We start from the raw sequence: 25,503 nt of genomic DNA on the forward strand, positions 1-25,503 counted from the left end.
GTTTTAGACATGAAGTCCTTGCCCCTGCCTATGTCCTGAATGGTATTGCCTATGTTTTCTTGTAGGGTTTTTATGGTTTTAGGTCTAACATTTAAGTCTTTAATCCATCTTGAATTGATTTTTGTATAAGGTGTAAGGAAGAGATCCAGTTTCAGCTTTCTACATATGGCTAGCCAGTTTTCCCAGCACCATTTATTAAATAGGGAATCCTTTCCCCATTTCTCATTTTTGTCAGGTTTGTCAAAGATCAGATGGTTGTAGATACGTGGCATTATTTCTGAGGGCTCTGTTCTGTTCCTTTGATCTATATCTCTGTTTTGGTACCAGTACCATGCTGTTTTGATTACTGTAGCCTTGTAATATAGTTTGAAGTCAGGTAGTGTGATGCCTCCAGCTTTGTTCTTTTGGCTTAGGATTCACTTGGCAATGCAGGCTCTTTTTTGGTTCCCTATGAACTTTAAAGTAGTTTCTTCCAATTGTGTGAAGAAAGTCATTGGTAGCTTGATAGGGATGGCATTGAATCTATAAATTACCTTGGGCAGTATGGCCATTTTCACGATATTGATTCTTCCTACCCATGAGCATGGAATGTTCTTCCATTTGTTTGTATCCTCTTTTATTTCCTCGAGCAGTGGTTTGTAGTTCTCCTTGAAGAGGTCCTTCACATCCCTTGTAAGTTGGATTCCTAGGTATTTTATTCTCTTTGAAGCAATTGTGAATGAAAGTTCACTCATTATTTGGCTCTCTGTTTGTCTGTTATTGGTGTATAAGACTGCTTGTGATTTTTGTACATTGATTTTGTATCCTGAGACTTTGCTGAAGTTGCCCATCAGCTTAAGGAGATTTTGGGCTGAGATGATGGGGTTTTCTAGACATACAATCATGTCATCTGCAAACAGGGACAATTTGACTTCCTCTTTTCCTAATTGAATACCCTTTATTTCCTTCTCCTGTCTGATTGCCCTGACCAGAACTTCCAACACTATGTTGAATAGGAGTGGTGAGAGAGGGCATCCCTGCCTTGTGCCAGTTTTCAAAGGGAATGCTTCCAGTTTTTGCCCATTCAGTATGATATTGGTCATAGATAGCTCTTATTATTTTGAGATGCGTCCCATCAATACCTAACTTATTGAGAGTTTTTAGCATGAAGGGCTGTTGAATTTTGTCAAAGGCCTTTTCTGCATCTATTGAGATAATTGTAGTTTTTGTCGTTGGTTCTGTTTATATGCTGGATTACGTTTATTGATTTGCATATGTTGAACCAGCCTTGCATCCCAGGGATGAAACCCACTTGATCATGGTGGATAAGCTTTTTGATGTGCTGCTGGATTTGGTTGCCAGTATTTTATTGAGGATTTTTGCATCGATGTACATCAGGGATATTGGTCTAAAATTCTCTTTTTTTGTTGTGTCTCTGCCAGGCTTTGGTATCAGGATGATGCTGGCGTCATAAAATGAGTTAAGGAGGATTCCCTCTTTTTCTATTGATTAGAATAGTTTCAGAAGGAATGGTACCAGCTCCTCCTTGTACCTCTGGTAGAATTCGGCTGTGAATCAGTCTGGTCCTGGACTTTTTTTGGTTAGTAAGCTATTAATTGTTGCCTCAATTCAGATCCTGTTATTGGTCTATTCAGAGATTCAACTTCTTCCTGGTTTAGTCTTGGGAGGGTGTATGTGTCGAGGAACTTATCCATTTCTTCTAGATTTTCTAGTTTATTTGCGTAGAGGTGTTTATAGTATTCTCTGATGGTAGTTTGTATTTCTGTGGGATCAGTGGTGATATCCCCTTTATCATTTTTTATTGCATCTATTTGATTCTTCTCTCTTTTCTTCTTAATTAGTCTTGCTAACGGTCTATCAATTTTGTTGATCTTTTCAAAAAACCAGCTCCTGGATTCATCGAATTTTTGAAGGGTTTTTTGTGTCTCTATTTCCTTCAGTTCTGCTCTGATCTTAGTTATTTCTTGCCTTCTGCTAGCTTTTAAATGTGTTTGCTCTTGCTTCTCTAGTTCTTTTAGTTGTGATGTTAGGGTGTCAATTTTAGGTCTTTCCTGCTTTCTCTTGTGGGCATTTAGTGCTATAAATTTCCCTCTACACACTGCTTTGAATGTGTCCCAGAGATTCTGGTATGTTGTGTCTTTGTTCTCGTTGGTTTCAAAGAACATCTTTATTTCTGCCTTCATTTCGTTATGTACCCAGTAGTCATTCTGGAGCAGGTTGTTCAGTTTCCATGTAGTTGAGCGGTTTTGAGTGAGTTTCTTAATCCTGAGTTCTAGTTTGATTGCACTGTGGTCTGAAACACAGTTTGTTATAATTTCTGTTCTTTTACATTTGCTGAGGAGTGCTTTACTTCCAACTAAGTGGTCAATTTTGGAATAAGTGCAATGTGGTGCTGAGAAGAATGTATATTCTGTTGATTTGGGGTAGAGAGTTCTGTAGATATCTATTAGGTCTGCTTGGTGCAGAGCTGAGTTCAATTCCTGGATATCCTTGTTAACTTTCTGTCTAATGTTGACAGTGGGGTGTTAAAGTCTCCCATTATTATTGTGTGGGAGTCTAAGTCTCTTTGTAGGTCTCTAAGGACTTGCTTTATGAATCTGGGTGCTCCTGTATTGGGTGCATATATATTTAGGATAGTTAGCTCTTCTTGTTGAATTGATCCTTTTACCATTATGTAATGGCCTTCTTTGTCTCTTTTGATCTTTGTTGGTTTAAAGTCTGTTTTATCAGAGACTAGGATTGCAACCCCTGCCTTTTTTTGTTTTCCATTGGCTTGGTAGATCTTCCTCCATCCCTTTATTTTGAGCCTATGTGTGTCTCTGCACGTGAGATGGGTTTCCTGAATACAGCACACTGATGGGTCTTGACTCTTTATCCAATTTGCCAGTCTGTGTCTTTTAATTGGAGCATTTAGCCCATTTACCTTTAAGGTTAATATTGTTATGTGTGAATTTGATCCTGTCATTATGATGTTAGCTGGTTATTTTGCTCGTTAGTTGATGCAGTTTCTTCCTAGCCTCAATGGTCTTTACAGTTTGGCATGTTTTTGCAGTGGCTGGTACTTAGTTCTTCCTTCAGGAGCTCTTTTAGGGCAGGCCTGGTGGTGACAAAATCTCTCAGCATTTGCTTGTCTGTAAAGTATTTTATTTCTTCTTAACTTATGAAGCTTAATTTGTCTGGATATGAAATTCTGGGTTGAAAATTCTTTTCTTTAAGAATATTGAATGTTGGCCCCCACTCTCTTCTGGCTTGTAGAGTTTCTGCAGAGATATCCGCTGTTAGTCTGATGGGCTTCCCTTTGTGGGTAACCTGACCTTTCTCTCTGGCTGCCCTTAACATTTTTTCCTTCATTTCAACTTTGGTGAATCTGACAATTATGTGTCTTGGAGTTGCTCTTCTCAAGGAGTCTCTTTGTGGCATTCTCTGTATTTCCCGAATTTGAATGTTGGCCTGTCTTGCTAGATTGGGGAAGCTCTCCTGGATAATATCCTGCAGCGTGTTTTCCAACTTGGTTCCATTCTCTCCATCACTTTCAGGTACACCAATCAGACGTAGATTTGGTCTTTTCACATAGTCCCATATTTCTTGGAGGCTTTGTTTGTTTCTTTTTATTCTTTTTTCTCTAAACTTCTCTTCTTGCTTCATTTCATTCATTTCGTCTTCCATCACTGATACCCTTTCTTTCAGTTGATCGAATCAGCTACTGAGGCTTGTGCATTCGTCACGTAGTCCTCGTGCCTTGGTTTTCAGCTCCATCAGGTCCTTTAAGGACTTCTCTGCATTGGTTATTCTAGTTAGCCATTCGTCTAATCTTTTTTCAAGGTTTTTAACTTCTTTGCCATGGGTTCGAAATTCCTCCTTTAGCTCGGAGTAGTTTGATCGTCTGAAGCCTTCTTCTCTCAACTCATCAAAGTCATTCTCTGTCCAGCTTTGTTCCATTGCTGGTGAGGAGCTGCATTCCTTTGGAGGAGGAGGGGCACTCTGATTTTTAGAGTTTCCAGTTTTTCTGCTCTGTTTTTTCCCTATCTTTGTGGTTTTATCTACCTTTGGTCTTTGATGATGGTGACGTACAGATGGGGTTTTGGTGTGGATGTCCTTTGTGTTTGTTAGTTTTCCTTCTAACAGACAGGACCCTCAGCTGCAGGTCTGTTAGAGTTTGCTGGAGGTCTACTCCAGACCCTGTTTGCCTGGGTATCAGCAGCAGAGGCTGCAGAACAGTGGATATTGGTGAACAGCAGATGTTGCTGCCTGATCGTTCCTCTGGAAGTTTTGTCTCAGAGGAGTACCCAGCCGTATGAGGTGTCAGTCTGCCCCTACTGGGGGGTGCCTCCCAGTTAGGCTACTCGGGGGTCAGGGACCCACTTGAGGAGGCAGTCTGTCTGTTCTCAGATGTCCAGCTGCCTGCTGGGAGAACCACTACTCTCTTCAAGGCTGTCAGACAGGGACATTTAAGTCTGCAGAGGATTCTGCTGCCTTTTGTTTGGCTATGTCCTGCCCCCAGAGGTGGAGTCTACAGAGGCAGGCAGGCCTCCTTGAGCTGTGGTGGGCTCCACCCAGTTCGAGCTTCCTGGCTGCTTTGTTTACCTACTCAAGTCTCAGCAATGGCAGGCGCCCCTCCCCCAGCCTCGCTGCCACCTTGCAGTTTGATCTCAGACTGCTGTGCTAGCAATGAGTGAGGCTCTGTGGGCGTAGGACCCCCTGAGCCACGCGTGGGATATAATCTCCTGGTGTGCGGCTTGCTAAGACCATTGGAAAAGGACAGTATTAGGATGGGAGTGACCCGATTTTCCAGGTGCCATCTGTCACCGCTTTGACTAGGAAAGGGAATTCCCTGACCCCTTGCACTTCCTGGGTGAGGTGATGCCTCGCCCTGCTTCGGCTCACACTCAGTGCACTGCACCCACTGTCCTGTACCCACTTTCTGACACTCTCCAGTGAGATGAACCTGGTACCTCAGTTGGAAATGCAGAAATCACCCGTCTTCTCTGTGGCTCTCACTGGAAGCTGTAGAGTGGAGCTGTTCCTATTCGGCCATCTTGGCTCCACCCTTTGTTTGTTTTTTCATTGAAAGAGAAAAGTGAACAGATTGGTATTTAGGAGCCAGACAAAGAAGAAGGAACAGATTGACTGCTTAAGGTATCATATCTTTGGGGTTACTGTTGTGCCAAGTTCAATGAATATAGGCAGCAACAGGAATCTTAATATAAATTTTTACTCCAACATTGACCATTCCAGCCATCTGTGTATTACAAAGTACGTCATTGTTTACTACCTAAGTTTAACATCCAACTAAGCTTGCTAAGCCTCATAGATCCCACTGCATGCCCGACACAAAGAAAACAACACACAGACCCAAAGGCAGCTTATCAGATAATTTTTAATACAACTCCAGGAAAACTCTGCACATACTGCCCCAAGTTGTCAATTGTTATCTCGGCAGAAAAATAGTTGCTTTTCCTCCTATCTGTCCTGTTAAAATGTACAGCTTCCTCCTGAGAAGAAATCAGGTAAAAGTAATAATAGAAGAAGAAAGCAGGAGGATGTAGCTCATTCACTGTGTTCTCAGTACCAGAATGGGCTGCCTAAACATCAGAGAAGTTCAAGGCAACAAAGAGTGGCAAGCTGTCCAGGTGATGTATTGCTGTGGAGGTAGCAAGAAGTGGCATCCTATATGCTTAGCCAAGAAGAGATTCTAGATCAAAAAACCTGGAAAAAATAGCATTAATCAAAGTACTGAATAGGTATAAAATTGCATTCATGTCACCTAATTGTAATGAAAATTGTAAGCCTTCTTTTACAAACTTATTTCTTGAGTGTCTGACATTCAGATCAAGTTCTTTGGGATCTTCAGTCTACAGGCTTTACCTATCTTTGTTTTCCAATCAAAGGACTTGTGTTTTTGAGCATGAGTTCTAACCATTTCTCTTTCTACTCATGGCATTTCTAAACTGATTTATCTCACAACTTAGCCAAGGCATGGGAAACACTTTCACAGCGGCAGATTTAACTCCCTTTTTCTTTTGAAGGTCTACTAAGGAAAATATGTCCAATTTGGAAGTAACAGGTGTGCATTTTCTGTTCACTTTTTAGTGCTCATCAATAAAAACCTATGGTGAGAAAAGAACTTTATGCTTCAGAGGAAAGGGCACTGTGCTCTTATACTAGGCCTATTGCTTGCCATGTACAACTTCAACAAATCTCCTTGATCTTGATCAATTCTCATTCAAGATCTCATTGATCTCATTGATGTTTGCAAAATACAAATCCCCATCTAGTACGATTGATTAAGGGCAAAGGGTGGCTTCTTTGTAAGCACCACCTCCCAATCTCCTATCTTCTGGGGGCTGCTGCAGCTTCCCTGTTATGCCTCTCTGGTCAATACAGCTGCCAGCATCTGTACCAAATATTCCTGGATATATAATTCCTGGATATATAATGGAGAACCACTTAAGTCAGGAGGAGGATTGTTTTCCCAGCACATATCAGGTCAAGATGCCATCCTTTAAATTAAGAGATACTATTGCTGTTTCAACTGTCTATAGGGCATAATCATTAAGCTCTTGGTTTTGTTTTGCTGTTTTTCAGTGGTGGTGCTATATGTGTACAGATGTTGGACTATTCTCTCGCCCATTTTCCCTATCAACAGATAACAATATCCATTTCTAAAAAGACTGATCTAGAACAAAATGCCTATAGAAAAATAAGCAAAAGCAAAACAACTGCCCCCAGATGGTCAGTGTCATTTCTCACTAGAGCTAACTGGCTGCAGAGAGCCTGTGTTAAAATCAGAAGCCATGTTCAAATTCCATGAGCTTACAAGGCATAGTTTCCTATAACATTGTTTGCAAGATATGCTGAGCATGACCTGAGAAATCCAGTTGGGCAGAAGTAGACTCAGTCAATATGTAAACTTTCCAAAATTTGTTTGTACATACGCCCTGGAATGGACTTAATTTTAAGAACTAGTTTCTTCCATTTTTAAAGGCAGAGACCTAAAGCTGTATGTAAAAAGTTTGACAGCCAGACATGAACAAGGATCTATCCCATTGTTCTGTTTGCTTGTTATAAAGGTAAATGCATGTTCTACCAAAATTCTTTGTGAAACAACTCATTTATCTAGGCTAAAATTTTATAGGTAGATATCAATTAGAACATTTATATTCCTGAATGGCATTATAAAATTACATCAAAATTTTAAAAGGCTCATGGTATACCAGATATTTGGAATTTATTGCTTAGTAAGACTTTGAGAACAACTTGGGTTTTCTCCATTCCTCTTTCAGTCCTCAGCACCTAGCATGTGAATTCCATGTAAAAGGAAAATAAAAATATTGCTGAATTGTTGAAAGACTGGCTCAGATGTATTTCAGTTTAAAATCAGGAAAAATAGGCCAGATTATTTTTAGGGCTCCAGGCTACATTCCTTCATCCTCTCAATATCCCCTGTTTGATCAGCAGAAACAGTAACTGGGTTTATATTTTACAGTCCAAAAAACGGAAGCTTTGCTCTTAATTATCAATACTCTGAATACCTCATTCAAGAGAAAAATGCATTTAATCACACACCAAGACATACATGCATACACACACACACACACACGCACCACCACCACCCCCACCCCCCCCCACACAGTTCAGGGTCCCTCTGTTTTTTATTATCTCCATTACTGTACTTTATTATCTGGATGATATCTGTCTTCAGAAAGACACAAGATTCTCTGTATCCCTAGCCCCTAGTAGAATATGACAGTACAGAAAATAACACAGTTTTTTTGAATGAAGCAATGAATATAACAGGAGAGGAAATAAGAAACTGATTACAGAATCCAAATGTGGCCCTAGCTATATCTCATCAATTCATTTAAGAAGATGATATTGAAATAGACTCTGTGCTGAGCTGTGATGTATAAGACAGTTTGCTCCCAATGATTTCATGTCATGGAAGAATATTTGTTGGAGTCCTCACTTTCTGTCTTCTTTGATGCTTGTTATAGAAATGTGGTAGCCGATAGAATAGATATAGTCAACACTGAGTCACTTTTTAATCGCTAAATTTCAGAATCATCCATGCTTGTCTTATTGAGTTTCCACATTCTAGCCTTATTTAAAATCAGGACAACTTCCCCCCCATTTTATGCCTATTTATTTCTTTTTCATAAATTGATTGCCTAACTAACTGATGTTTTTGCAATTACTACATTGCCAGGAGTTAATATGGGTATAGGATGTAGGGTGCAAAGCTGAGAAGAAATTCTGTATAATCTGTGCCTGTCAAATCTTGGATCTTCCTTTAGTTGCCTTTTTCTATAAAGAGCTCAGAAGAAGAAAGAACTCTGATACATGTGCAGCTTTGTTCAGAATAGTACCCTTAAATATTTCTGCTACCCAAACTAATGGTGAACTCTCCCATACCAGCTCTCTGAGTTTCTTAAAGATAATAGTATTTGCATACAGCAATTGGATATTGAGTTGCATACAGCAATATCCTTCTCAGGATGGACTAAGTTTAAAATCAACTTTTAAAATAGCTGGAGTGATTTTAACTGAAATTCTTTGGTTGAATTCTTGGCTAATGTATCTAAAATCTTCTCCTACCTTCTGCACCCTAAACTGGCTGCAAAAATCTTTTATGACTTCATTAAACAAATACATGCCATAATTATTGTTATTCTACTTCATTAGTATGAATGACCATGTTTACAAGTAAAGGCATAGCAATACATTTAAACAAAATCATTTCAGTAATCATTTCAGCTGGGTTTCTTTTTTCTTTCTAAGTACTTTATTCAGGATATTGTTTGATCGTTCTAGTACTTATTAGATACTTCTTTGATAACTCTGTCACTTGGGCTTTGGAGGTCATATCACTAAGTTGTATCTTAAAGAGATTGTTCCATTTTCATGGGAGCTTAGTTGCCTCTTTCAGAAAGGCAGTAAGAAAAATCACTGATAGCATGGCAGGGATAGAAATCCTGAGATTAGATTAATACTTGGTAGAACAGAGGAGGCTTGGCCTAGAGAAGCTATAACAATACAAGACTTAGGATTATTGTATAGAATTCCTTCTACTGTGGCACTGCTAACAATTAAGAATTTACTGGGGCCGGGAGCGGTGGCTCACACTTGTAATCCCAGCACTTTCGGAGGCTGAGGCAGGCGGATCAGGAGGTCAGGAGATCGAGAACATCCTGGCTAACACAGTGAAATCCCGTCTCTACTAAAAAAAAAAATTAGCCAGGCTTGGTGGTACACACCTGTAGTCTCACCTATTCGGGAGGCTGAGATAGAAGAATTGCTTGGACGCGGGAGGCGGAGGTTGCAGTGAGCCGAGAGCGTGCCACTGCACTCCAGCCTGAGTGACAGAGTGAGACTCCATCTCAAAAACAACAACAAACAACAGCGAAGAATTTATTGCATGAATTTGGGCACAGAGATAGATATGGAAGCAATCTTTCTTCACTGTGGCTTTTCTGGCAAACCAGCTTTCTAGGCAAGGGAAGTGGGAGAACCCCTGGTTTCTAGCATTGCCTATTTTTGTGTTATAAACGTATGTGCCACCAGTTTCAAGATATCAACATGATGTCATTGAATGTGAAGTTGGGAAGAAGTGCGCACCACCAGCTCTGCCCAAGCCCATGCAAGCTGGCCTGGCACGCACTGGACTCTGCAGAACCATCCCAGCCCCAGAGCTCCCTGCAGGGTCAGCTCAGGTCTGTGCTGTGACTGCATCAAGGTTCAGACTCTCCCTTTGCCTTCTTCTTTCTCCTCTCACATTAGAGACAGGTGTTGTTCCTAAGAACATGCTCCAGTAAACTTCCTGCGTGAGAATCTCAGAGTCCCAAAGCGACCCCACCTATAGTGAAGAGAAATTGAAAGTTAAGTTCATGATCATTGAAAAATAGAGAGCGAAAGTCCTCTGTTCTCTCTCCTAAATTCATTAACTAATTAGATCAACTATGGCCTCCACCTGGTTCCCTAATGAGTCATAGAATTTACCTTGATAAGTTAATAAATGGGCAACTCAGTGGCGCTTTGTGTTTTGTTCTGTTGGTCCTTATTTAAGTCCTTTATCTCAAACAGACCACACACAAACCAGGATCAAATGTAGCCAGATGCTGACATTAGAGATCCACAGTACAAAGTCCTTTGTTGCCACAGAGGGCTGTAGCAAAACTGGGAAGACTAAATCTCATGTCCAAATATTATTACTGTCTTGTTTATCCTATTATGTCACTAAATTCTCCCATAGCTAGCACTCATAAGTCGGTATACAGAAAGAATGGATTTCTCAGCCATAAACAGCACCGGCAAAATTCCTTTTTGCCACATGAAGCGAAAAAGAAGGGGTGATATTAATGAAATGTAATGGAATAATGTGCTAGAATAGCTATAATTTTTAGACCTGGTAAAATTGTAAACTAGATTAAAATGTGGGTGACAAATGTTGAGTCTAAGCTATTTCCCCAGAAAAACACAACAATTTCTACAGTCAATTTTCAATTATCTGCCCAAGGAGAAATAGCAATAATGGCAATTATCCAAAAGAGTAGATAATGAACAAATTCATTTCTACTTGACTTTGAAATATTATTTTGTATTCTGAAACCAACATTTGAATGTAGATGCATTTTATATTCTGGAAAGTTGCAGTGCCTCTAACTTAAGTACTAAAATTACACTTTAGAAATCAGACTAAAGAAAGTAGCTTATATTTTTCCTCTTTTCTTGTACAATACGTTCCCACTTTCTATATTATTCCTGTGAATAGATGTCATTATCTCTTAGGATAATGTTCAGTTCATTCTAAAGCAGAGAAAATTTGCATGTATATGTTTTCTAGTTAATATTTTCCTGCATTGATGGCAATTAAGTATTTTGATTAAAAGGACACCCTCCTTTCCTGCCTCTGCTTTGCTAAAATTATTTTTTAATGTGTGAAAAGAAAAATCCCAAAACAAAACAGAATGGATATTCAAGATAAAAGTTACATCTAAGTAAGATTTAAGTTTTAAACCTGCATCTGCCCATGGAAAAATGAGTTAGCTATTTACACATTTTCCACACCTTTTTTTTTTTGGCCCTGGTTTGGTTATTTTTCACTCAGTGAATGCTATGATGACTATAATAATACCTAGGATAGGGTCTGTCTCATGACAGCATTCAGTAACTTCTCATTTCTTTCATTCCTTGCTTCCCTTTTCTTTGTTCAATAATATTTTATAGAAGATGCTTCATATTAAGGCTTCATATATTTCAATAATGTTTATGTTTTTTTCCACTCTTTCCATAGTAAATTCTACAAAAGCAAGGAAATGTTTTAAAAATATCGTAGAGTAAAATCTTTCAGGTGCTATTTTTCCAATGTCAACATTCAGTACATGTTTAAATTCTTAAAAGCTACCTCCATTATTTTATCAATATTATTAAGCAAATAATCTAGTAAGTGCTATATGCACTTTAAAGAGCAGAATGAGGGTTCATGCAGACTAAAAACTGACTACATGCTCTCCTGTCTTATGCTTACTTACATGGTACACTCCCATTATTAGAATAAGACATTTTTTACATAAGGCAAAGGATTCCCAAGTGTTGCAATACTTTTGATTGTTTCTGGGACTCTTTTGCTTTGGTATTTGACTTGATAAGCAGTTGGTGTTTGTCTGTTTGGCCAAATAGACGTGCTCTCCTTTAAAGTTCTGAAATTTGTCTTCAATTGAACAAATGACAAGGCACTGGAGAGGTAGGTTAAGCAGCTGTCTAGGCTGAGTAGATCTAAGTTCAAACAAACACTGGCTCCACTAATCCCAGGATGACATTGAACAATAGACTTGCTCTCCCTCAGTCATGTTTTCTCATTATTAAAATGAAGGTAATAATACAAAACTAAGAGGATTGTGGAGATGATGACAGATAATACGTATAAGTAACTTGGTGTAGGCATTCAGTAAATGTGGGTAGTTGTTACAAATACTAGCTAACGTTGATGACTACCTATGCAAGCACCATCCTAAGCACTTTCTATGTATTCATTTATTTGAACCTCATGACAACTCTAGGATTCAGGTACCGTCATCATGATTTTGCACATGGGACCTAGAAAGGTTAAGTATCATCAGTGGCTGAGTCAGTCTCTAAACCCAACCCATACACTTACCCATCACACAACAGTGATTATCATAGAAACAGAGAGTCTTTTAACAGAAACTGGAACCAGCAAATGGATCCACTGGAATCCACTTGTGCCTCTGTCCATATTGTTCACATGGGGCCACACTGCTGAAACACCATCCCAAACAAATGCCTTTGATAAGAGTTTTATTTCATATGAGGACCCATCACATTTCAGTCACTCAGCATTACCCAGAACTTACTCTATGATATACATGAACAGTTAGTTAGAATAGAACATTCCACTTTTTATTATGAAGCTTTGTATACATATATAGCTTGAGACCCAAGAATCTGATCAATAGAAGGCAGGTCTAGTTGGCTTCCATCCTGTTATTTAAACAAACAGGTCTGGATCAGATTCAGCCAGTGGCAGAGTGGTCATAAGTGACACTAAAAGGTCTTAAGTGAAAGGGAAGGTGCGCATGCCTAAAATCCCAGCTGTGCCGTGAATGAACCAAATGTCTTTGCCCAAAGGCAGCTTCAGCCCTCTGGACCTTTTTTATCACTTGGAAAGTTAAGATGTTGCAGAAGACCTTAGGTAAAAGCTGGCCATCCATGTGCCAATCCTGACCCCTCACGTGGACTTTGGTTTTAGCCTTGTCTGACCTGTGCAGTTTTGTTTTATTTTTAAAATTAGATCCTAAAGTACAAAACTCAAAATATTTCACATTTAAAAAATCTATATTTCTGTTTTTCCCTAAAAATTGGACGTTGTGACATCATTGGGCCTGTTTATCTTTGTGGCATCAGTCAAAATCATCAACTAGACCTGAGCAGTAGCTGCCCCTTCAGGTGGGGCATGGGCTCAGTAGCTCATCACAGTACCCACCATTCCTTATTATCTCACACCCAGTCTGCTGGCTCATTGATACCACCTGCATGGGCTTGAAGGCATCTGAGTTTGTAATCCTAGTACCAGCTGAAACCCTAAATGAGGTTAATTTCTTCATTCTTTTTTCATTCAGTCCACCTCTATTCAACGCCTACCCACATGCCATTCTTTGTATTGTATTGTCCTTAAATAGAAATATTTTTTTAAAGTGGCAGTTCTGTTTTCATTTCTCTGAACCCAATTCATTTCCGTTATTTCTAAATTTTTCTCTCTTCTTGGTGTCCACTTAGGGCTACGCAGCTTGCTCCTGGCACGGGCACCTTGAATCTCCTCCTCACACAGATGGAGACCATGCTTGATTTCCTGAACTTGTAGTAAGAAGAAGGAAAACACAGCACGCTGGAGCCAACAGGTAGGCGAGAAACCAGGTAGGCGAGAAACACGTTTCTCAGTTATGCAGCCCAGCGTCGAGGAAAAATAACAGCAACTCTACAAAATCAGAAATCAGCGTCTAAGGACTAATGAGCAGAGAGAAAAGTCTAGGTTTTTTTCTTTATTAATGTTTACCTGCTATAGTATGCAAAATATCCTTGCCATAAAAGCCTTATTTCTTTTTTAAAATTTTTAATTGTATTTTAAGTTCCAGGATACATGTGTAGGACGTGCAGGAAAAAGCCTTTATTCTGAAAGATACAGGAGAAAAAAACTCATAGCTTAAAAGAGTGTCTTTTTAAAAAATTCATACTTACAAGTGTCTATGAAACATTTTAGTGGTGGCCTCTTTTAAGATAAACTATTAGGTAACTAAAGATATGCTTTAGATGACCTAAGACAATTCCTATTTAAAACCCATTTCTCCAAGGCCATCACTAATTGATTCTTGAAACTTCTTTGCTGAAGTAAACTCATCCCACAGGCAATTGTGCTTCAATCATTTCTTACTTCAGTTGAAAATAATAGGATTTTGCATAGAAAATGATGGTACAGTTATTAAAAGTCTCTAAAATAGTGAATAATTGTTAAAATGTTTTTATTTAAAGTGATAAAAAGCAAGATAAATACTTAGAATATTCCTTTATACACTAAATGGCACATTAAATAAATAAAAATGATTGCAGCCTATCCGGACTGTGATTCAGGGAAAGAAGCACCATGCTGGCAAGAGGTCACCTGGATGACACTCCTATCTTTCCCATCATAGCCTCTGTGACTTTGGGCCACTTACTTAACCTTTCTAAACTACAGTTTCCTTGTCCATGAAATTGACAGTTATTTCAGAGTGTCTTCAAAATGCCAAGCAGAATCAGACCCTGAAATACAATTGTTAGTGGAAGGTGGCGGGTAGCTCTGAGCCAATTCCCTGTGAGCTATTTTTCCAAAAGCAAGTTCAACAAAACTCCAATTCACCAAATGCCTCTCTCCTGGTTCTTATTTACAAAATTCATAGTAATTTGCACTGGATATGTTGGTTTTCACAGCCTTTGGAGATTTCTCTAAGGTTTCAGTTGATAGTTTTCTCCCTCCGCTTACTGACAGCATTGGAAGGAATGTGCAGTTTGTTTCAGCCCCTGACAGTGAGTCGCAAGAGGACCCTCTGATGAGGAGCAGTGGAGCAGCGTCAGCACACAGCCTAAACGGGTGGACACAGACTAAGAGACATGAGATTATACTCATAAGGATTCTCCAAGTTCAAGACAAATATACTGAGTATTTTAAATATATGAAGCCGATTGGGTACTTTTGAGAACAGCTTTATGGAATCAGCCTGCTGGTATAAATAATACTTCCTCTTAGGGATCTTAGCGTCCAATGGAGGAAACAGACTAAAAACAAAACAGAAAATAAATAAATAATACAATTACAAATTGCAATAAGCACTATGAAGAAAACAAACAGGGTGCTCAGGTAGTGAAGAGGTGGAACCTGCTTTAGAAAGGGTGGTTAGGGGAGGTGTGAGAGTCAAGAGAGCTCTCCCTGCTTCCCTTCCCTTCTGGGCACATGAAAGGACCAGATAACTTGGGGCTATGGGATGTGGGATGACCAGTGAGTTGTGAGTAGAAAGGATCTATGGCACTTCCATGCTGGAGCATTTAATTGCTGTTGCAGGACTCCCTGGCTCCCTTCCCCTGTGACATTCTGACTGGTGATGTGGCTCAAGGTGTGGTTTTCTCCTTCAGCCTGGAGCCTGTGTGACTGCAAAGAACAGAGTGCCCCTCTCCGTCCCCCCAACCCATGGACCCACAATGGACCTGTAACCTGAGCAAACAACAAACTTTAATTGTCTTAAGCCACTAAAATATGGAAGCTATTTGTTAGTGCAGCGTAACTGAGACTATCCTGACTATTATTATTAGGGGCTTTAAGACAAAAAGCGTTAAGCTTCGCTGATTTGTAAAATTGAAAGATAGCCATTATGGCTGGATTACAGCAAAGCAAGAAAAAGTAGCAAATTAGAGTTCTCCTTCTACTACAGGCTGCCTGCCTCAGGCTGTTCTGATGTTTGTTTATATTCCTGGCGATGCTTTAAGACAGATTAAGTAGCTTGACTCTAAATGCTTTTGATTTGTTTACACAAATCAAACTCTCATATTTTATCTCTGCCTCTGGATTATGATAGTTTTTATCAAGAACTTTGCATGTGTGCTATTGATATGATAATGCAATCCTAATGCCTTCCCAAGAGCTAAGAGCCTCTATCCTTTCAGTCAATACTGAGATGCACTTGGGTGTATAGGCCATTCATAGCTGAGGCTTGGGATGGGCAGTTCACAGCACTTTGCAATTGAATCATATGTAATACTGTGCAGTTTTTAAGCTCTCAGTTTTTCATATCAATTTCTAATATTCTGGCAACAGAAGCTAGTGAAAAGCCCAACTTTTATGGGACTCATCATAGGCCCTTGAATGTTTAAGTCTTTTGCACTTAAGATCTTGTTTGCAAACAAAACAAAACCCCCAAGCAGAAAGCAAATTGCACGATATCCAATTTATCTTCTTTGGAAGAAAAGAAGAGCTGAGTCAGCCCTCATGAGATTTGACAAGGAAGGTACTTTTTTTTTTTTTTTTTTTTTTGAGACGGAGTTTCACTCGTGTCCCAGGCTGGAGTACAATGGCGTGATCTCTGCTTACTGCAACCTCTGCCTCCTGGGTTCAAGTGATTCTCCTGCCTCAGCCTCCCAAGTAGCTGGAATTACAGGCATGTGCCACCATGCCTGGCTAATTTTTATATTTTTAGTAAAGACAGGGTTTCACCATGTTGGCCAGGCTGGTCTCGAACTCTTGACCTCAGGTGATCCACCCGCCTCATCCTCCCAAAGTGCTGAGATTACAGGCGTAAGCCACTGCACCCAGCCTAGGAAGGTATTTTTTTTATCCTTGACACTGCTCAGATAGAGCCACTGATATTATAACTGCCTTTATTGTAGTTTGGTAGCTTTACAGGAAGTACATCTGTCGGTTATTACAGTCATTCTTGTACAGTTCTTAAAGTCTTAAGGATTTTTATTTGAGATGAGTGAAATCTCACTAAAGAAAAGGAAAGTTGGGAAGGGGAAAGGAAATGGATCTAAAATTAAAATTGTATCCTTAATATAGTCTAGGCTTAGTGCTAGGTGCTTTCATATGCATTACTGTTCCCCTATCCCCACACAGTGGAGGAAGCAGCTCAGAGAAGTTATGATCACCCAGCCAGTGAGTGGCAGACCAAGGAAGAGGTCTTCTCCCTCTAAAAACCCTGCTTTTTCCTCTTTATTATGTAGACTAGAATGTCAAAGTCTCCTGTACCATCCCTATAGTCAAATCCAAAATGGCCAAATCTCACATTCCAAAAATCCTGCATTACCAAAATTTAAGAGTTCTCTAAAAAATAAATGCTAGGTCACTATTACATATTGATTTATTACATATCCAGGTTCAGAAGAGGTGCTAAACTAAACAGAGCTGGTTATAATAGGCTGTACTTTGCTAACTGTGCATCCTCCCTTTGTTCCACCTCATCCTGTGTAATTAACACAGTCTTGAAAGTAGAAGTTTCCATGACATTAAAATTCTTACACAGCGCACCCTCTAATTATTTCATATCTTCACATTAGGGACCAAGATACTCACGGTGGAGGGTGGGATTCTGTTTGTTATTTAATTACTTAAAGAAGGAGCACAGGAAAACCAAGACAAAGAGATTATTAAAATAACATTTACACTTGACTCTGAGTTGCCTACACACAGACCAAGGCACAGGCATACATTTCTTTTCGCCTTCTTACTCCCACCTGGCTTCAGACCTCCTCTCTCTTGGCACTGGTTTTCATCTCAGTTATGCCTGTTGCCATCTCTTCCTATCAAGGACTTGCTTATTCTTCAAGCCCCACTCAAAATTCACTCCTCCACATGCCTTTTCAGATGTCCACAGTGAAAATTAAGCTCCTTCTTCCCTTACCCGAGGGCACTTTTTACTAATCTTACAGCATCTCTCTGCATTGTACTATGAGGACAAGGGTGGGACAGAGAATGCTGATGATTCAATCAGATGTGTTTTCTCTTTTTTCTTCCTGGACATATAGATAGACCGCATTTCCTAGCCTTCCTTAGAGTTGGGCATGGCCACATAATAAATTTCTAGCAATGCAAAATGAGTAGAAGTGACATGCTTCATTTGGAAGCCAGGGTTTTGAGGAAGGAGGTATGCCTCCTCTATGCTTTTTGCCTTGCTGCCATCAGTAAAGGAGCTCTGAGACCCCCCCAGGTGGGGGCCCCATGGGGTGAAGAAAGCCTGGGTTCCCAAATCACCAGGTGAAAAGCTTTCTGGCCAAGCAGCAACGCTAGGTTGTTACACAAGAAATAACCACCTATTGTGTTAAGGCTTAGAAATTTAGGGCTTATTTGTTACAGCTGCTGGTGTGGACCTAACAGAGAGTATGCATCTTTCTAAGTGTGTGCTTGAGTGTGTGTGCTTTTAGAAGCCCCAAAAGGACTGGAACTAAAAAAAAAATCATTCTTAACTGTGTGTAAAATTAAACTGAGTTGGTGCCTCATTTGGAAATGGAGCAGATGGTCATTAAAATGAAAAGTGGAGGCTACTCTAAAGCATCTCCAATATTAGGAATGCCATTTTCTCATTTGCAAGCAGCTGTCTAGAATTTTGTAAACAATCTCATAGGTGACTAATTTGGTATAGCGAACAAAAGGAATACCCAGTTTTCATGTTAAAATATGCCCTGGTTCATTTCTCATTTGAATATTCATTATTTCATTCAACAAGTACATATGGAACACATTCTACATGCCAGGCAGTCCTCTAACAGTGCTGATCCATGAACAGTGGCCCCAGCTCATTCCAAGTACACAGGCCAGTGGGGGAACCAAATATCCACTAAACTCATCACACTGCTGAATATGCTGTCAGCATATCACCCAGGTTCTCTGGTTCCTCTCTTGGAAAATAAGAATGATAATACTGGCTATTTCTCTAATTTTAAATTAGATAATATTTAGATATAACAATTATAAAATATTTAGCAGTGTGCTTGACACTTGAACTTGGCAAGCACGTGATAATTCTTAGCTATTATTATTTGCTTTGATTTAGAGAAATACTATGAGATTGTGTAATAAAGGAATCTGACTAGGCTGAGGAAGGGGTGTGTGGAACACAACAGTTTCCTCTGGAAATGACTCCTGATATGATAGCTGAGAAGTTGGGAAGAATATTCCAAATTCTTAAAACTAGAGTAAAAACAGTATATTCAAAGAACCCATGATGGGGACTTCATTTTCAGGAATTAAAAGAAAAAGCTAGTTTAGCTGGAGTCTAGAAAGCAAGGGGAAAACTGCAGCAGGATAAGACCATGTAGAGCCTTGGGAACCAATCATGGTATGATTTCCAACACATAATGGCACAGAATGATAGGATCAGACTTAGTTTTTAGAAAGATCACTATAGCTGGAGTGTAAAGAAAGAAATTTAGAGGACAGACTGAGAATAGGCAGCTACTTGCAACTTGCAACTTGCAAAGTTAATATAGGAGTCAAGATAAGAGATACCCATAGCTTGAGTGGTGGTAGTGGAGCTTGAGAGAAGTAGAGATATAAGAGAAATTTCTGAAGTGACATTGGCAGGATGTGGTGATGGATTAGGTACAGAGTTAAGAGGTGAAACCGGGACTTGACTCCCAGTCTTGCTCTCGGTCCTCTCTACCACTCCACCCTCCAGGGCTCATGGCTTGATCCTCTCCAGCCTCAACCTGGCCAGGTTTCCCCTCAAGCCTCCAGAGCCTAAGGAAGAGGAGTTGACAGGAAGGACAGGGACCAGTGTCATTTGGTCCCTGATCTCTCTTGGGACAGGTCCCCAAGCAGCTGAGCCAGAGCTGTTAGGAATGGCTCCAGGTCTTTCCGATACAGAGAGGTACATTTCACAGAAGTGGGGAACCATGAAAGAAGATCAGGGTTGCAGGATCATGAATTTACCTTTGCATATGTTGCATTCAGATGCCCTTCAGATATCCAAGTACACAATTAGATGTGTGGGTCTGGAGATCCATAGAGAGAGATCTCTGAGCTAGAATATAAACTTAAGAGTTATTCACATGCAGATGGCAACTGAGGTCATGGGCAGAAAAAAAAATTGCATAGAAAACAAGCAAAACTGCCTGTAATCCCAGCACTTTGGAAGGCCGAGGTGGGCAGATCACCAGGTCAGGAGATCGAGACCATCCTGGCTAACACGATGAAACCCCGTCTCTATTAAAAATACAAAAAATTAGCTGGGTGTGGTGGCGGGCACCTGTAGTCCAGCTGCTCAGGAGGCTGAGGCAGGAGAATGGCGTGAACCCGGGAGGCGAAGCTTGCAGTGAGCCGAGATCGCGCCACTGTACTCTAGCCTGGGCGACAGAGCAAGACTCCGTCTCAAAAAAAAAAAAAAAACAGAAAAAAGAAAACAAGCAAAACTTAGAGTGAGAAGAAAAGAAGGCCTAGGACCTTGGCTTGAGGAACTTGTTAGCAAAGGAGACAATGTTAGTCAGGGCTCTCCAGAGAGAAAGAACCAATAAGATATATGCAGGGGTGTGTGTGTGTGTGTGTGCGTGCACGTGTGTGTGTGTGTTATATATAAATTATATATATATATAAATTATATATACATATATAAAAAGGCCACCAATAGAAGACAATTCTCTTACTAATTCCACGTTGTCAGACTCAGAGTACACCATAAATAATTTTTCCCCTTAGAGCACCTTTTTCATTTTCACTTCTGAGATAGGGATCGATCCCTTTTCTCTGACCCACCCAGGGCAGTTGTTCAGAAAGCACACCACTCTTGACTCCAGCTCCTGTAGAAATGAGAGACACTGTGATTGTGCATCTGCCCCTCTGACTTTGTCTCGGGCTTGGGCAGGGAGTCTGTGCCACAGCCCTTGGCTCCACTCTTCTATCTCTGTTGCCTTGCATAGGTGTTTAACAACTTATCCAGCTTGTAATTCAATATCCACTGTGAGGTTGCCAGGTGGTTTTATTTTTCCTTTTAAATTAAATACTGATAAAGATCTTAGACCATGACAAATTCAGAGCAAATGTTACAAATGTTTTCCCTCTGATTCCTTCTCTTTCAGTCCAATAAGCTAAGGCCTTAATTTCAGCATCATTTCTTTTTATTCAGAGTAGAGATTGGTGCCATACAATTTCCCTCAAATGGGCTTTCCTTGACATTCTTCAGCTGAGAAGAGTAGCAGACCCTCACCTCTGCATTTGGTTTCTACATCTTGCCTACATTTCCTAAAGTGATGTGGGGTGAGCCTAGGTCACACGGCAGGGAATGGGTCAGGTCACTTGACTCCCGGTCTTGCGCTCAGTCCTCTCTACCACTCCACCCTCCAGGGCTCATGGCTTGATCCTCTCCAGCCTCAACCTGGCCAGGTTTCCCCTCAAGCCTCCAGAGCCTAAGGAAGAGGAGTTGACAGGAAGGACAGGGACCAGTGTCATTTGGTCCCTGATCTCTCTTGGGACAGCTCCCCAAGCAACTGAACCAGAGCTGAGGAAGAGGAGGCAACAGGAGATGGTGGGCTAGACTCAATTCCCTGCACATTAGCATAGCAGCCTGGTGCTCCCTATGCCCCTGAGGAGGTCTCTGAGGCTTAAACCCTTGAAGAAACTCAAGAACTGATTAGAAGACACCCTGTCAGGAATGGGGTGAGTGTAAGGGATCAGGTGATGACCAGTATTGAATAAGGCTCAAAGAAGGAATGAAAGTCAAAGATGGGGTGAGAGTCAGGGATGTTTATGGCACATATGAATCAGCCCACTGTATCCACAGGTTCCACATCTGAGGCCTCAACCAACCGTGGATTGAAAATGTTTGTAAAAGAGAAACAATAAAACATAACAACACAACAATAAAAGATAATATAAGTAAAAAATACAGCATAACAACTATTTACATAACATTTACATTGTATTAGGTATTATAACTAATCTAGAGATGATTTAAAGCACACAGGAGAATGCATGTAGGTTATATGCAAATCCTGCACCATGTTATATAAGGAACTTAAGCATTTGCTGATTTTGTATGGTGGAATCTTGGAATCAATCCCCATCAGATACTAAGGATGACAGTATTGGTAAATAAATCACGTATTTTTCCACTGTACTCTACCAAATGTCCTCGACACCAGAACAATCATGCTTCCTGTTCAGAGGCAGAACTCCAGGCTCCAAGAACACCAGTGGGACAGAATGTACAAAGGTCAAGACTCAGACACCAGCACAAATGGCACATATTCTCTGTGCCAGATGCCTCACAAGCTATTTCATCTACTGCCCAAAACAGCCCTTCAAGTCAGTGCTTTAAGATTCACCTGCCAGTTAAAGAAACAAGGCTCCAAAGGTTGGGGTACAAAGAACAAGACAGGTGCCAGTCACGGTAAGCAGGGTACAAGGTGGTCTATTTAGTCACAAAGAACAAAACAAAATGCAGTTGGCTCAACTCCTAAAGGCTGAGCACACGGTCAGTTGGAAATATGACGAGATCCTTGCCACTGTGTTACTGCCCTTGGGCCCCCTAAATTCTCCCTAACTAGGGAACTGCATTGGTCTAGACTGGCACCTAGGTGAGACTGAATGGGCAACATGAAGCCAAGCAGCTCTCGCTATGGGCAGTAGTGAGCTAAGGAGCAGGGAGTCAGGCCTGTTTTCTGCAAATAGCGCCCACCCCACCCCTTCCCTCTCTGGCAGTCCCTGCTCAGTGCGTGGCTGCTGCTCAGAGTGCACTTTCTGATGGCGTGTTTGCATATGGCCTCGGATGCTCTATATCCAAAGTCCTTCGCAAGCTGTGCTTCAGCCACTGAGCAAACTGGAATGGAAACCAGAGCATTACACAATTCCTGGGTTTACAGACTTTGAAAGGCACCAAGAGTGGTTTGTTGGGGTTGAGATTGGCCACATCCCAGTGTGCTTTTCTGGGACTTTGTAACAGTTATTTCTGAGAGGGTTTCACTGAGCCCTAGAGAGACTGCTAGAAGGTCAACACAGAGGGCTCTCGAAGCACAGCAGAGACAGGCAACAAACCCGTCACAACCACAGCATTCAGCCCCCTCCCCTGCCCTCTTAGGGTAGGTTGCTCTAAGCTCTCTAAGAACACACAGAATTAAGTAAGGGTTTATTTCCCAGTTGCCTCAACAAATATTTATTCAGCTGTGTATAAGACCTCATGTTTCTCACCAGACTGTGATGCTGTGTAATGTACCTTTGATTCCCTGGCACCTATTCCTGGGCCTAAAAGAAGTGGATGCTCTACAGTTGTTAGTCAAATGAATTAGCATACACCATCTAGTCCTAGAATTTGGAAAACGCCCTATAATGTGAAACAGTCAACAAATCCCCTGTCACCAATTGAGTCTACCTGCCGTCCCATAAATGACTTCTCACATCTTTCCTAATAGCACAAAATTGCTCTCAAGCTCGAGTGAAATAAGTCTAACCTGTGATGAACTGCCGAATGAATTAATAAACACCACTTCATGGAAAGTGTTCTGTGGGAATGTGACATGGTCAGAAATATGATTGGCAGAGGTCATAGAGTGGATGGGAACCTACCAGTGTGTGGTTTCTGATATTTTTTCCTGCATAAGAGATGAGTTTCTCATGGCTCCTATATTCCCAACAGGCACGTTTAAAACATGTCCCCTTCTTTGTCTCTCAGGAAAGCAAATCAATCAGTAGGCAAATGCATAAAATTGATATCTTCACAAGGACAAACCTGAATGTGCTCTCTTTTTAAAAATCACAATCCTAATAATGGACAGCCTTTACTGAGTGCTTACTCTATGCTAAGCACTGTGCCATGAGCTTTGCATATATGATCCCATTTGAGCTAGAAACAACCAACCCTGTGTGGTTTGTTCTGTAGGATCTTCATTTTGCAGATTAGGAAACGGGCCTATAGAGGTTGCAGAACATTTCCAGGAGTAATATGTGTGTGGGACTGAAATGCAGGTCTTGACATTAACACTGTCCTGTCTCTAAAATTATCATACTCAAATTTCAGTACTTGGTGACTGTCATCATAAGTTGTCATGCTGTCCCTCACAACTGACTGCCACAATCTGTGTACTATAACAGAGAGAAACGTTTACCAAAAGTACGGTCTGGCTTTTATCAAAACTAACTTTTTGCTTCATGGTTTGAACCAAATTGTCCAATACTGATTTGAGTTACTCGGGTCTTAAAAAGCAATACGTTAATAACTGTCTCTTACTGATTGTCTATAATGTCCTACTCACTATATCAGACATTTTTCAAAAATTATTTCTAATAAAAATAGATATCTAGGCCAGGTGCGGTGGCTCACGCCTGTAATCCCAGCACTTTGGGAGGCCGAGGTAGGTGGATCATGAGGTCAGGAGTTCGAGACCAGCCTGGCCAACATAGTGAAACCCCATCTCTACTAAAAATACAAAAAATTAGCTGGGCCTGGTGGCGGGTGCCTGTAATCCCAGCTACTCAGAAGGCTGAGGCAGGAGAATCACTTGAATCTGGGAGGCGGAGGTTACAGGGAGCCAAGATCACGCCATTGCACTCCAGCCCGGGTGACAGTGCAAGACTCCATCTCAAGGAAAAAAAAAAAGAAAAGAAGAAGAAAGAAAAAAAAATAGATATCTAAAGTATGATAAATAAAGTTGGAGCAGGACAGAAAGGGGAGCCAAGTCTTCCCCCACTTATGAGTTTCATTTTTCAGGCTCCAGAGGCCTTTCATGTCTCTTTTTCCCACTCTTGAAAAGTCTCAGTTGATGCCTTTCCTTCTCTCCTCCTTTGTTGATATCCTTCTCCACTGGCATCATCTCTACCCCTCCCCTTGGCTAAGATGTGAGCTGTGACTTCCTGCTGGGCAGGATGAGATGATCTGGGAGAATAGTCCTCTGAGATGCGCGGAGAATGGGGTGGGAAGTTATGTGAGAAAGAGAAGCCATAGCAGGGCGAGTGCTCCAAGGAGGGGTGCAAAGCCCATGTAGGTAAATGAAATGGAGTGGTGGTCCTTCTGAGGAGAAAATGGAAAGGCCAGGAGAAGGGGCTGACTACAAGTAACCACAGTCTTTTGGGAGGAGAGGAAAAGGCAAAAGAAATGTCTAGAAAGCACGGATGTTCTTTATGAACAACCACACAGGAAGATTAAAAGCAGTGTTTTCCTCACCAAGCATTGACATTTGTGTGGAAGTCCTGTTGACCACTGCATCATTTCTCTCTGTCGTTCTCGCCAATGCCCACCAGAGTCTGGAAGTCACGCCCAGAGAAATGTCTTCAAGGACTGAGCAGAAGTGAATTCTCTGCAGCCCTCAACACTTGAGCAGCTTCCTGAATGACAAACCTCACTAAGGCCGGGTCTTTTTCACAGACCTGGGAGCAGGGGTCAGTAGCGGGCAGGCTGTGCGGCAAACATACCATTGTCATTTGGATGAGGAAAGACATTAAGCGGGAACAGGGCAGGGTAGGGATTCGTTCATACTTAAAAAAAAAAAAAAAGTTTGGTTAGACAATCAAGGAGACGTGCAAATGTTCCCCAGCCTTCAGTGAAATGCTTTCAGGCTTTCACGTGAAAAGTTTGTACATTAATTTACTTCAAACTTGTCCACAATTGTGAACTGTCAATATCAATATGGGCCCATGTGCTGCCTATTTGAAGATGATGCTACCATTGTTGATTATCCTGGATGTGTATGAATTTAGTTGAAAAGACTGCTGCATGCTCAGCTGTTTCCTCTGTTGCACAAAAAACTGATTTCAAACTGTAGCCGTTTGAAAATATATACCACCAAAAAGTTTGATGTAAAAATAAGCAAGTGCTTCCTTAACCCGTGTTTTCACAAATAGCTGATTCAATCACTTTGATTTTAAATTAGCAAGTCAACAAGTCAGTTTCATTAAAAATACATGCACAGTCTAATTCATTGGTTGACTGAACTGACCGTTCCCAGGAAGCAGCAGCGTGAGGTGTTGCTAAGAGAAGTGGCTTG

General features: G+C 40.8%; 1 protein-coding gene and 1 long non-coding RNA gene across 6 annotated transcripts in view; one reads left to right on the plus strand and one right to left on the minus strand.

The window, feature by feature from the left end:
* Positions 1–25,503, plus strand: part of B3GALT1 (beta-1,3-galactosyltransferase 1) — a 581,045-nt gene that overhangs the window by 512,378 nt on the left and 43,164 nt on the right. For 3 of the 5 annotated variants that reach the window (NM_020981.4, XM_047446159.1, XM_006712819.4), the window contains one exon: positions 13,294–13,415. The gene's annotated coding sequence lies outside the window, so the exon portion shown is untranslated. Of the gene's footprint in view, positions 1–13,293; positions 13,432–25,503 lie in introns of all 5 variants that reach the window. The other 2 variants (XM_011512085.3, XM_047446160.1) reach the window with 1 other exon arrangement.
* B3GALT1-AS1 (B3GALT1 antisense RNA 1) overlaps positions 9,396–25,503 on the minus strand; it is a 126,371-nt gene continuing 110,263 nt past the window's right edge. Inside the window, exon 5 of the long non-coding RNA NR_131227.1 lies at positions 9,396–9,853. This is a non-coding gene — a long non-coding RNA (B3GALT1 antisense RNA 1). The remainder of the gene's footprint in view (positions 9,854–25,503) is intronic.

Source organism: Homo sapiens, chromosome 2, assembly GCF_000001405.40.
Source record: "Homo sapiens chromosome 2, GRCh38.p14 Primary Assembly".
Taxonomy (NCBI): Eukaryota; Metazoa; Chordata; class Mammalia; order Primates; family Hominidae; genus Homo; species Homo sapiens.